General features: G+C 40.2%; 1 protein-coding gene across 3 annotated transcripts in view; it reads left to right on the forward strand.

The window, feature by feature from the left end:
* DNAJC6 (DnaJ heat shock protein family (Hsp40) member C6) overlaps nt 1-13,037 on the forward strand; it is a 151,123-nt gene that overhangs the window by 122,692 nt on the left and 15,394 nt on the right. For all 3 annotated transcript variants that reach the window (NM_001256865.2, NM_014787.4, NM_001256864.2), the window contains 6 exons: nt 896-975; nt 1,816-2,009; nt 2,107-2,187; nt 4,991-5,425; nt 7,458-7,592; nt 11,373-11,441. In NM_001256865.2, coding sequence (NP_001243794.1) covers nt 896-975; nt 1,816-2,009; nt 2,107-2,187; nt 4,991-5,425; nt 7,458-7,592; nt 11,373-11,441 — 994 coding nt within the window. The remainder of the gene's footprint in view (nt 1-895; nt 976-1,815; nt 2,010-2,106; nt 2,188-4,990; nt 5,426-7,457; nt 7,593-11,372; nt 11,442-13,037) is intronic.

A 13,037-nucleotide genomic window follows, 5' to 3' on the forward strand; every position in this document is an offset into this window, starting at 1 on the left:
AGCAGTCACTTCCTATTCCCTCTCCTCCATCTCCTGGTAACCACTGATCTACATTCTGCCTCTATGGATTTGTCTATTTGGGACATTTTATTTAATGGAATCATACAATATGTGGCCTTTTGAGGCTTCCTTCTCTCACTTAGAATGTTTTTGAAGCTTATTGTGTTATAGCATGTGTCAGTACTTCATTATCTTATATGGCCAAATATTATTCCATTGTAATGTCACAATGTATTAATCTTAGTTGATAATCTCAGTTAATAATCATCAGTTGGTGAACATTTGGGATATTGCCATTTTTTGCTATTAGGAATAATGTGGCAAGTAATTGTGTTTTGATTCATCACATATTGGCTAAGTGAGTGCTTTGTGCCAGCCATTGCTGAGGTTTTTAGGATTGACAAGAGTAAGACTATGTCTCTGCCTTTAAGGGACTCAATTTCACAAGGGAAATCCATGCAAGTACAAATATGCATGATACCATATTAGAGGGAGGATGAGGTGTTATAATGGGAGCAGTTTGTTTTAGCCAGCAGTGGCCTAGAAAGGCTACAGAGAGAATATGAACTTTTAAGACATGCCCTAAAGGATGAGTTCATTGGGTTGGAACAGGGCATCCTGGGTAGAAGGAATGCAATGAGTCGAAGTATGCCTGTGTGCAAGAACATAGTATTTAGCGGATGAGAAAATGGTTTGCCAAGGCAGAGTTCAAGTAGAGGAGAGGCTGGAAATGAAGCTGAGCCTATTCTAACTGGGGAGGTCATTTAATATCCATAGTAAACACAAATTCAGATATTGAAACAGTTGAAGGTGCATGTCTCCCCAAAATCTAATCTTTTGATCAGATTCCCTTTTCGCTGATTGATTGTAATGTGCTTCTCTCATGTATTTTTAGGTGACCAACACACAGATATTCCAGCTTCAGTTTCACACTGGATTCATACCACTGGACACAACAGTTTTAAAGTTCACCAAGTAAGTACTGGTTGGGCCAAAAGTCTATTTGAATCAAATTAGCTGTGAAGTGCTGAGGCTCAATGGCACCAGGCTGTAGCATACCCTGGAATCCTGTGCTGCTGAACTACTGAGTGTCACTCAGTAGCACAGAGAGGCTGTGGGCATTCTAAAGCTTTCAGTTGAATATGATTTATCTTCAGAAGTACAAAGGGACCAAAGACTTCAAACAGAAAGTTCTAAAATTCTATGTGAGGGAATAAGGGTAAACAAAGCGGGACAAAGTATCACTGCTTTTGATCCTTTGCATCTGTGTATCCCCTTGTGTTTTCCAGTGGGGATGGCAGTTTAATCAGTGGTATGGTATCAGCAATGATGCATCAGAATAGAAGCCCCGCTATAGCACTGAAGCAGGCTTCTGGAGGACCTTTCTGCACCGACATTAACCTATCTCATAGTGTGGTCTAGGTGAACGCAGTTGTGGGGGTGGCTAGAGCCGGGATGGAGTTGCTGGGGCCAGGATAGGAGTAGATGTTCAAGGGCTCAGGACAGTGGCTGTGGGCCTATTGCACTATTTTAATAATGGATTTTGCCGTGCCAGTCACATCAGCCCTGCTTTCCAGAATGCTTTTACATGCAGTAGCATTCAAATTTGTTGAGCAGGCATTATTCTCCTCTTTTCTCTAGATTAGGAAACTGAAGCTCAGAAAAGTAAAGTAACTTATCTGGTTATGACTGAGTCTTTTTTAGAAATGAGACTTAGATTTAACCTAAGAGTCAACCTAAGATGACTTCTGTGCCAAACATCATACCAGTTCCATTGTTTTTCACTGAATTTATCTTTTTTAAATCCCTATTTAGGCCTGAGTTAGATGCATGTGATGTACCAGAAAAATATCCTCAGCTATTTCAGGTGACACTGGATGTAGAACTACAGCCCCATGACAAAGTAATAGACTTAACTCCACCATGGGAACATTACTGCACAAAAGATGTCAATCCCAGCATCCTCTTCTCTTCTCACCAGGAACATCAAGATACGCTGGCCTTAGGAGGTATGAGTCACCTGATGGTTTTGTTTTTCAGGATGAAGCCTCTCTGTTATTTATTTCCTGTGTCTCATTGATGCTACATGGTCTTTTTGTCTTGCAGGACAGGCTCCAATAGATATCCCTCCAGACAACCCCAGGCATTACGGACAAAGTGGTTTCTTTGCCTCTCTCTGTTGGCAAGGTATTTACAAGTGTTTCTTTAAGTCACATGGTTTGATGATTATGTATTTCTTCTGTAAAGATGTTGGCCCTAGAAGCAGACTACATTAAAGCAGCACTTAGAGGTCATTCAATCCAGGCACACGGACTCCCACCTGTAAGCCCAGCACTTTGGAAGGCCAGGATAGGAAGGCCAGGAGTTCAAGACCAGCTCAGGCAATATAGTGAGACCCTATCTCAACAAAAAATTTTAAAAAATTAGGTGGGAGTGGTGGCAAATGCCTGTAGTCCTAGCTATGTCAGAGGCTAAGGCAGGAAGACTGCTTGAGCCCAGGAGTTCAAGGTTGCAGTGAGCTATGATTGCGCCACTGCACTGCATTCTGGGTGACAGAGCAAAACTCCATCTCTAAAAAATTTTTTAAAAGACATCATTCAAGTTTACATCCTTCCAATTCATTCCCTTTTCAAATCAGGCAACTTCCCTACTTTCAACTCAGTAGATGCTCTTAGACTGATGCAAAAGGCCATTTTAAACTGAATTCTCCCTTCTCTCTGCTGTGTTTTTGGTCACGTCATTCCTGGACTGACAAATAAGTGTGATTTGTTTATGATCTCCCTTTAGACTGCTGCCTCTGTAATGAGATTAACACAGGATTCTATCTTCCGCTGTCAACTAAATATTATAAAAATATCAAATCAGCATTCCCCCCAGGGAGCCTTAACCACTAGCAGGGCAGAACTGAGCTTACCCTGCTGCAGAGAAAGCAAACACTTGGCCTGTATATCTCTGCTCTTGCTTTAACAGCCATACCAGAAATAAGGGCTCGATTACTAGGTTCTTTTCTCTCAAACCTGGAGATATTTTCAGAATCCTCCTCAATATAACACTTCCAGCTGCTGCCAGCAGTAGCCTGACGTTGGCATCCTAATCAATACCCATTGGCTATCCTTGCTTTAGAGCTGGCTGAGGCTAACTGTGAGATTCAGTGTAGACGTGGGTAGTCAGTGTTTGGGTATGAAAGGCATGGGAAACTGGCTATGGTATGGTTTATCTGAAATTATCCTGATTGACCTTCCTCTGTTGTGTGAATGTAAGATAATATTCCCATCGCCTGCAGGCTTCAGTTTGATGAAAAAGTTGTTCATAAAATTCCGTTGAATTGAAAGACTCACTTTCAGAATTTTCTTTCGAGAAATGGAACTAGCAAATCCTCAAATTTGGAAAACCCAGTGGTATCTGGACAGTAGGTAGATTTCTTATCCCCTGTTGGCCTTTCTTACCTCTTATTTTCCTCACAGCGAGGGCTTTTAATACAACTTCACTCTTTCCTCTCCACTGTCATTTTAGCAAATAATTTAGAGATAATTCCTGTAGACTCTGAAATAGGTTTTAGTATAGATGCACAGTCTCTTGTCTGAACCTCTCAGAGCCAGGTATGTTTAGGAATGCAGAACTTTTTGGATTTTAGAAGGATGATATGCTACATAAAGTGATGTAACTTGACATCCCAAGTGATATCTCAGATAATAACCTATAATCAAACATATTAATATTTCTGCAGTAGAACATATAAACAATAGCCCTAAGTGAGATAAATGAAGACTATAAGTATCTTCATATTCACGTCTGTCAGTTTTCCACCAACTGAATTCATGCCAAACTTAGGAAAATCTTTTCCTTTTCATAGCTTATTACATTTTATAATTTGGAATAAAGGATGTGGATCCATACTTGACTTGGAATGTGGGTCTATCTGGCATTAAATATCAAATTTTTGTGGGAAGATCTATCTCAGGGAGGGCTTAGAAGGTCACTCCTTCCCCAGAGGAGGCCTCTTTCCTGCTGCTCATTTTGTGCTGAAAGTACCCCTTTCAAGCTGGTATAAGGACCTTTCACAGCAGAGCTCTTCTTTTCACTTTTTAAATGTGTGGTTCACTTCTGCTCCAGACTGTTAGAGAAGGGATTTGCTTTTGGCTACAGGACACATGGAGAAGTAAAGACAGTGAGAAGTGTCAGCAAATGACTAGCAGATAATGGTTTGTACTACCCTCCCCGGCCAAAGCACCTAGCATAGTGCCTGAAAAAAAAAATCAACACTTAGGTACTACTTACTATTGATTGGAGTGATTTATAATATCATCTCATGTATTTCTCACAGTAGCCTGTGAGTTAGGTACTATTTATTTATTTAGACACAGTTTCACTCTGTAGCCCAGGCTGGAGTACAATGGCATGATCTTGGCTCATTGCAACCTCTACCTCCCGGGTTCAAGCAATTCTCATGCCTCAGCCTCCCGAGTAGCTGGGATTACAGGCACACGCCACCATGTGCAGCTAATTTTTGTATTATTAGTAGAGATGGGGTTTTCACCATGTTGGCCAAGCTGGTTTCAAACTCCTTACCTCAAGTGATCCTATCTCAGCCTCCTAAAGTGCTGGGATTACAGGTGTGAACCACCACGCCCGGCCGTTAGGTACAATTTGTTATCCCCACTTTGCTGAGGAGGAAACCAAGGCACAGAGAAGTAAAGTAACTTGCCCAGTGTCATAGAGCCAGTGAGTAGTGAAGCTGAGATTCAGTCCTAGGCTGGCTCCAGAGTTCCTGCTCCTTACCCCTATGCTCTACTGCCTCTCAGATGCTCAACAAGTGGTAGTTGAATGTAACGTGAAATACATCAAGTGTTCCACTGATTAGGGTCTAAAAACACTGTTTGCTCAGGGCTGAATCCTTCTGTCTTTCTGGAATTATATACATATATTATAACAAAAACCAACAATGCTGTGGTCAGCAACTAATCTCTTATGGTATACTGGCCTTCCTCAGATCAGAAATCGGAGAAGTCATTCTGTGAGGAGGACCACGCTGCCCTAGTGAATCAGGAAAGTGAGCAATCAGATGATGAACTTCTGACACTTTCCAGTCCGCATGGCAATGCCAATGGTGACAAGCCTCATGGAGTCAAGAAGCCCAGCAAAAAGCAGCAGGAGCCAGCAGCCCCTCCACCCCCTGAGGATGTGGACCTTTTGGGCCTGGAAGGGTCTGCAATGAGTAACAGCTTCTCTCCGCCAGCGGCTCCTCCCACCAATTCTGAACTACTGAGTGACCTGTTTGGGGGTGGAGGTGCAGCTGGTCCCACCCAGGCTGGACAGTCAGGAGTGGAAGATGTGTTTCATCCTAGTGGACCTGCGTCTACCCAGTCAACACCACGCCGCTCTGCCACCTCCACCTCTGCGTCTCCAACCCTAAGAGTGGGAGAAGGTAATTTTTTCTATGTTGCACTGTGCCTCTCAGATTTGAATTCTAACCTTTGGGCCAAATAGGTGGAATTGAACTTTCCTAATAAGCTAGACTTTTCTGATTTCACTGTAAGTCCTTTAGAGGAGGTCTGTATCTTTATTTAAATTGAGAGCGTAAGAGAAAATAGAAATATTGTCCATTTGGGTAGCACACTAAGGTAGTGTAAGAGTGGACGTTTGAGCTTCACACTCTTACTTCTAATTTTCTTTGTTTAGCACTTCAACCCCTGAGCTGCATTAGTCTGCTTAAACATACTGATTGATGAATTATTATTGATAAAAATAGCTAATATTTATGAGGTATTTACTATTTGCCAGACATGGAATTTAATACTAAACATTATTTAATTCTTACAGAAACTCAATAAATAAGGGCTATTTTTATCCCCATTTTATAGTTGAGGAAATGGAAGCATAGAATTAAATCAGTAGCATAGGTTTATATGACTAGTAATTGATAAGGCCAGTGTCCAAACCTAGGTTATTTGACTCTAGGGCTTTCCCTCTGTTTTCCTATAACGGCTTCCTGAAGTTATAGTTTTCTGAATATATGTGGGCTATCCAGAGAAGTGTTTGGTTATTTGAAAATATGTTTAAGTGACTCATGCCGGAAGCACAGCTTCCTAGAACAGAGCAGTTGGTACTAGGTAAGGAGTTTGAGCCCCTTGAGGCTCTGTTAGTTTCACTGTCTCATTGCCAGAGACTCAAACCTTCTACTATGAGTCATCTAGGATTTTTTGACATTTATAAGACAGTGTAGTTGGGTAAGCAGAGATCCAGCACAGCTCCTGAAGAACCCACTCAAATTAGCTGCCCCTTGGTCCTGTCACCATTAACCAAGATGACTTCACATTAGGAAGGGTAAAGAGAAATGTCTCAACTCTTCAGGCCTATAGTATCCTATAGGAACATTTTTTTTCCCCAAGCGTATCCTTCCCAGAAGGCTCTGGGCTGGTCTTGACTTGTGATAGTTCAGCTGGAGGCATCCTTCATGAGTGTGGGTCTCAGAATTACAGAGTATTGGTGTTGAGGCTCAAGCTCCAATGTTAGCTATTGGTGGACCCAGGATGTGAACTCAGGTGCCCTGAATCCTATGCCAATGCTATTTCATCTGTACTTCACTTCCTTCCATACAGTTTTAACTTGCCAAAGTGAAAAAAAGCTCTGTCAGGAAAACAGTTTCCAAGATCCAAGATATCAGTACTCGATAATTGCATTTTAAGACTGTGCACCTGGTGTGACTCTCATGATTTCATTCATCATAGTTTCAGGCAGCTAGTGGAATTCCAGTGCCAGAAGGGGCCTTAGACATCAGTTAATTCTCTGCCTCATGTTATAGACAATGAAACTGAGGCTTAGATGTATTGATTGACCTGTCTGAGGATACCCACTGGATTAGTGGCATACCCAGGTCTAGAATGCAAGTATTCTATCCCCCCAAGAGGAAGTAGAAAGAACACCAAGTCTAGAGTTAAAGACCTGGATTTGAATCCCAGGACTTAACTGTCTGTGTAACATTATTGAAAAATCTTCTCAGTTGTAAAATGGGGATAATAGTTACATATTAGCATTGTTGCAAAGACTAAATTTTGAGCTCTTGTCTTGTGGTGTTGGGCAGTTTTAGTTATTGGAGAATGCCCCTAGTTTAACATAAATTGATATTTTAAATGTACTGAGTATGGTAAGAAGGGATAAGGCTAGATAACAAATAAATCCTGCTCTTAAAACCGAGGTGGGATATATGGCTTAATACGTTTTCAGCTAAGACTTCATTGGCATAATGCTCTCCTAACAACTGCTGGGCAGATTAGCCTTGTGTAGCAGCAATGGTATCGACTGTAGTTCATCCAACAGGTAAGTCCAGACTACTCCTTTGTCCACAAAGATAGGAAATTCTTGGAGTCCACTGTTAGCCCTACAGGAAGTGACAATTCTGTGACATTTAGTGAATGAACTCATGGGACAAATAAATATATTTTCCCATTGTTTTCTAGGTGCCACCTTTGACCCATTTGGAGCACCTTCTAAACCATCAGGTCAGGATTTGCTGGGTTCTTTTCTGAACACATCCAGTGCTTCCAGTGACCCCTTTCTCCAGCCAACAAGAAGTCCTTCGCCCACAGTACATGGTAAGGAAATATTTTATATTGTGTTCAGTGGAACATAGTTTTCTGCAAGATATCAGTAAGTGCTCATATATAAAAGCACCCTGTGGGTGCTTTTTTGATAAAAGCTTCCTCACACATCTCTGTTTTTGAAATTAACAACTCACCTTAACATATCAAAATCTCTGGGCTGTCTTACAGGACAGAAACCTGCTTAACTTTGTTTTGCTCTGCTTTCCTATTTGACTATGGTATCCTTTTTTGCATTAGAGCTACATGGACAGAATCATAAATGACCCTTGATTGTAGGACATATGATTATTTTATGTACCAATAAGAAAGAAAAAAACACTGCCACTATGAAATGATTGGAAGATACTTCTTGGTTAGAGAAATCTTTGAAATGTGGGAAAATATGTCTTAAATAAATAAAATATGTTAGTAGTCCACAAAATTGGTATTCCAAAGAACAAAGTTTGGGATATGATAGCCACTAGTTACGTGTGGCTGTTGATGACTCTACATGTGGCTAGTCTGATTTGAGATACACTCCAAGTATAAAATACATACCAGATTTCAAAACTTAGTACAAAAAGGGCATGTGAAACATCTCATCAATATTTTTATATTGATCATTTATTAACATAATATATTGAACATACTGGGTTAAATAAACTATATTATTAAAAATAATTTCAATAGTGTCTTTTTACTTTTTAAAATGTGACTGCTAGGAAATATAAAATTACATATGTGGCCCAAATTATATTTCTATGTTAGAGACTTAGGTTGTATAGAAAGAGTAATAATAATCACATCCATTTATAAAAGTGTGTCACTTAGGTAACATTGATTAAAACCGGAGGTCTGCAGTGAGGGATAAATAACTTTGAGCCAGAGAGTTGTAGCTCATTCCTGATGTCGAAGTCTATTGAACATTATTGGCCACAACCTAGAAGGTGACGTATTGTTGAAGGCATCCTGAGCTTGCTTGGAGAATGCAGTCCAGTCATCAGTTGACTTTGGGAAACCATGCCAATGCAAAAGGAAGATGACTTTTGCAACACTGGTGAAACTGAAACTTGACTAAAAAAGATTCCAGGAACAACTTTTGTGGTTCATTTCCAACTAGTCTTTAATCTCAAACTATTTGAAGTGCATCCTCAGGACAATATACAAGAAATTCCCCTCTTACCTCTGAGTCATGCTCACTTGAGAGAGTCTCCTGATTGGATGTTGACTACCTGTAGGAGAAAAGATGCAGGAATGTAGAGTAGAGTTGGTTTTCTCACTCATTTAAAATGTTAAGTCATGTCATTGCTCTGCTCAAAATGCCTCCCCATTTTACTCAGCATGAAAACCAAAGTCCTTGAAATGGCCTGTGTAGCCTCTGTATGCTCTAGCATCTCAGTGCCCGTGACCTCATTTCCCATTCTTTCCCACTTTACTCTCTGCATTCCAGCTGTACTGGCCTCTTTGCTGTTGCACTGGCTGTTTCCTCTGCCTCATACTCTTCCCCAGGCATCTGCATGGCTAAGTCCTTCACCTCCTTCAAGTGTTTGCTCAAATGTCACCTTCTCAGTGGAGTCTACTCTGATTCCTCCGTTTCAAATTGCAACTCGTCTCCCTGCCCTACTCTACATTCCCCTTTCTGTTGTGCTTAGTAACTTCCAGTATATGCAGTAATTAACTTATGTGTTACATTTTTTTGTCATCTCTCTCTCTCTATTAGAACATGAATTCCACAAAGGCAGGGAATTTTGTTTTGTTCATTAATGCATCCATAGTGCCTAAAAGAATTACCGGCACATGGTAGCTGCTATCTATCTTTCCAATATTAAATATAAAATGAATTAACTCATTTTTCCCATCAAAGTTTCTTTGATGCACAGTGATAGTGTCATAAGGCTATATGTTTTCCTGATTTTAATACTTTGAAATTATTGTTTTAATAAGAGTACTACCCTTTGTGTCCCATGGACGTGGGTGTTCATACTTGGCAGCTTGGCAGTTTTGGATCCAGTTTTCTGTTTCTGATGAGCTGATTAGAACATGGTGTTTATAACCCAGTTTAGGCCAGTTAGTACTCCTTTGTTTTGTGGTTACATTTCTCATTTTGGTCTGTATTGTACTAGCGAGTGGAAAGAATTTTCTCCTCTCCTTGTTGGGAAAGCAATGATCATTTCACTGTTACTGAATCAACTCCCCGTCTTCACATAGGACAGAATATAGGTGACACTCAGATGTCTGCTTTGGGAGGTCAGACATCCTCAGGGTACTTCCCCCGGGTTTCTGCAAGGCGTCGCCAATCTCTCATGAAAATAAAAAAAATACTGCCTTTGGGCTCAACAAATATTTATTGAACATCTATTCTGAAGAGAATAATCACTTGGGACATGATGTTGGAAGAACAAATAAATAATCATAATAAAAGGCAAAATAGAGACTAAAATATTAGGTAATTACCTTTTTGAAAAAATATATTCCTGTTTCTCTAACAGACCTTAAGTTTCTTGAGGATAGATAATGCATCTTTCAGTCTCTGTCCCCTGATGTGGTGCCTTGCATGTGGTAGGTAGTCATAAGGGTTTGTGGGTTTGATTAGCAACAGGGTTGAAGTTCTGATACCTACTTCTGCGTCTTAATTGGATGTAAGACTAGGATCAGAGCTTAAAGGAAATCAGATAGAACGTACTAGCAAAACCGTCTAACTTCCACCTCAGTGGAATGGGTTACTGTGTAAAAATAGAAGGGATAAATAGAAAAGAAAGAATTATTATTGCTGATAATGGCATATCCTTTTTAACTTAATGATGGGAAGGTACTAGATGACTTGGTTGGTACTAAGTAAACAAAACAAGGAAATAAAAGGTTTGGAATGCTAATCTTGATGCCTTCTGGTGGTGATGGGGTGTGTGTGTGCGTGTGTGTGTGTTTTAAATCCCAGTTGCAATGTCAGTTTAGTATTTGCATTTTAATAATTGATTTGTGTGGGCAAAACCTAGAGGTGCCTCAGAAAGAAATTCTTCATCATGGCATCCTGTTTCCTATATAGATTTTATAGATGTGTAAAAAACTTACTACGCACATGTATTCCTCTAGTACACCTGATTCCTTTTAGCCAAATATTTCTTTTAAATTATATGTTTGGAACTTTGAGGGGGGGTCAGAATGATTTATTTTGAAGCTGTAATGAGTTTATTTTGAGTACCATAGACACATCCCTGACAACCAGCATAGTGATGATGTATAGCCAGTGCCCAGTACATGTTCTGCATGACTCATTATTCTCAACTCATGTCACAGCAGAGGAGAAAACAAAATGTCAGTTTTGAGTGGATTATGCTTCTATACTTAATGCTTAGCAAAGGTAAACTGAGCTTAAGGTGTTTTCCCCCTTTTCTTATTGCACACTGACTCTGTGTTAAATTTAGAGGTGGGACACACACACATAAGATAGTTCTTTCCTGACTTCGAGGGACTGACAATTGAATGGAGACAGACACATGCTCAATGATAACTCAAAGCGTGTGGATATGGAGGTAAAACCAAAGTGAGACAAAGAAGGAGCAGAGACAAATAATATGTCGTTTCTGTCAAGCCTCATGTGAACAACCAGAGGTGAAGGCAGAACATATTGAATGTTGCAGAGTGTGGCAAGAACTCAGAAGGAGGAGTGGATATCTTGGGATCTTGCTGGGGCCATGCAGGCTTCAGGGATGGAATGGCATTATCCTGTGTGAACTCAGAAAAGTGGGTTCTGAGCTCTCTTGTTCTCATTCTTTTTCTTTTCCCCATTTGCAGCTTCTAGTACGCCTGCTGTGAACATTCAGCCAGATGTTTCTGGAGGTTGGGACTGGCATGCTAAACCAGGTAAAAGCAGGTTATTTTCTGTACACATTTATATAATTGCAAAAGCATAATCCTTACCCAAGATGAAGTGAGTACTCACAGAGTATTGTGGCCTACCTGTGTAATTTGTGTCACTTTTTCCTAAAGATTCATATTCTAGAAGAGCTTTTCCCAATGCACTTGATGACATGATAGTGCTACTTATCATACACCATTTAACTTTTCTAAATTTCATTTGCTGAATGTCTTATCTTGACAATAGAATCAGACGGATATAAATATATATCAAACTCTATCACTTAGAAACTCTTGGGTTTTTTTGGCAAGTCTGAGCCTCAGTTTTCTTATCTGAACAATGGGGATAATAATTTTGGTCCCACATAGTTGTGTAAGTTTAAATAAAAAAAACTTATATAAGAATTTCTGGCACAGTGTAGATGCTGACAAATGTGAATATTCTTCCTTCTTTACAAAGTACTTACTTCAGGGTGGGATTTGTCTGTCATCAACAAGGTCTCCTCCTCATGACCACTATGGCATTTATGGAGCTGTCTTGTGTGACTGCTCCTGACATTGAGCAAGTTAAGTGCACGCGTGCACATACAAACACATACACAATGGGCTTATCACAACAACTTTCTGAAGCAGTTGCTGTTTCCTTTTTTTATTGTAGCAACCCCTTCCCCACAACGTAACATTTACCCTGCCAATAATTTCCAAGTATACAATACAGTATTATCAGCTACATGCACTTTGTTGTGCAACAGATCCCCAGAACGAACCCACCTCCCCACTGACCTTCTCACATAACTGAAACTCTACACTCACTAAATAACTCCCTACCTCTGCCTCCACCAGCCCCTGGCCACCACCCTTCTACATGAGTTTGACTACTTTATATACCTCCCATAAGTAGAATCATACAGCATTTGACTTTTGTGGCTGGCTTATTTCACTTAGTATAATATCCTCAAGGTTCATCTGTGTTGTAACATGTGACAGGATTTCCTTCTGTTTTTAATTTAAAAATTTTTTTTGGCTGGGGCGTGGTGGCTCACGCTTATAATCCCAGCACTTTGGGAGGCTGATGTGGGAGGATCCCTTGAGGCCAGGAGTTCATGACCAGTCCGGGCAACATGGCAAAACCCCATCTCTACAAAAATACAAAAGTTAGCCAGGTATGGTGGTGTGTGCCTGTAGTCCCAGCTACTTGGGAGGCTGAGATGGGAGAATTACTTAGGCCCAGGAGGTTGAGGCTGCAGTGAGCCGAGATCACACCACTGCACTCCAGCCTCGGTGACAGAGTGAGAAACCTGTCTCAAAAAAAGATTTTTCTTTAAATTGACAGATAAAATTGTATGTATTTGTCGTGTACAATATGATGTTTTGAAGTACACATACACTGTGATATGGTTAAATGTAGCTAATTAACAAATGCATTTCCTCACATGGTTATCATTTTTGTGGTGAGAACATTTAACATCCATTCTCTTTGGATTTTTCAAGAATGTAGTAGATCATCATTAACTAGAGTCACTATGCTGTACAATGGATCTCTTGACTTATTCCTCCTTTCTAGCTGTAATAATATATCCTTTAACCAATGCCTCCTCATCC

The sequence above is a fragment of the Homo sapiens genome, chromosome 1 (assembly GCF_000001405.40).
Source record: "Homo sapiens chromosome 1, GRCh38.p14 Primary Assembly".
Lineage (NCBI taxonomy): Eukaryota > Metazoa > Chordata > Mammalia > Primates > Hominidae > Homo > Homo sapiens.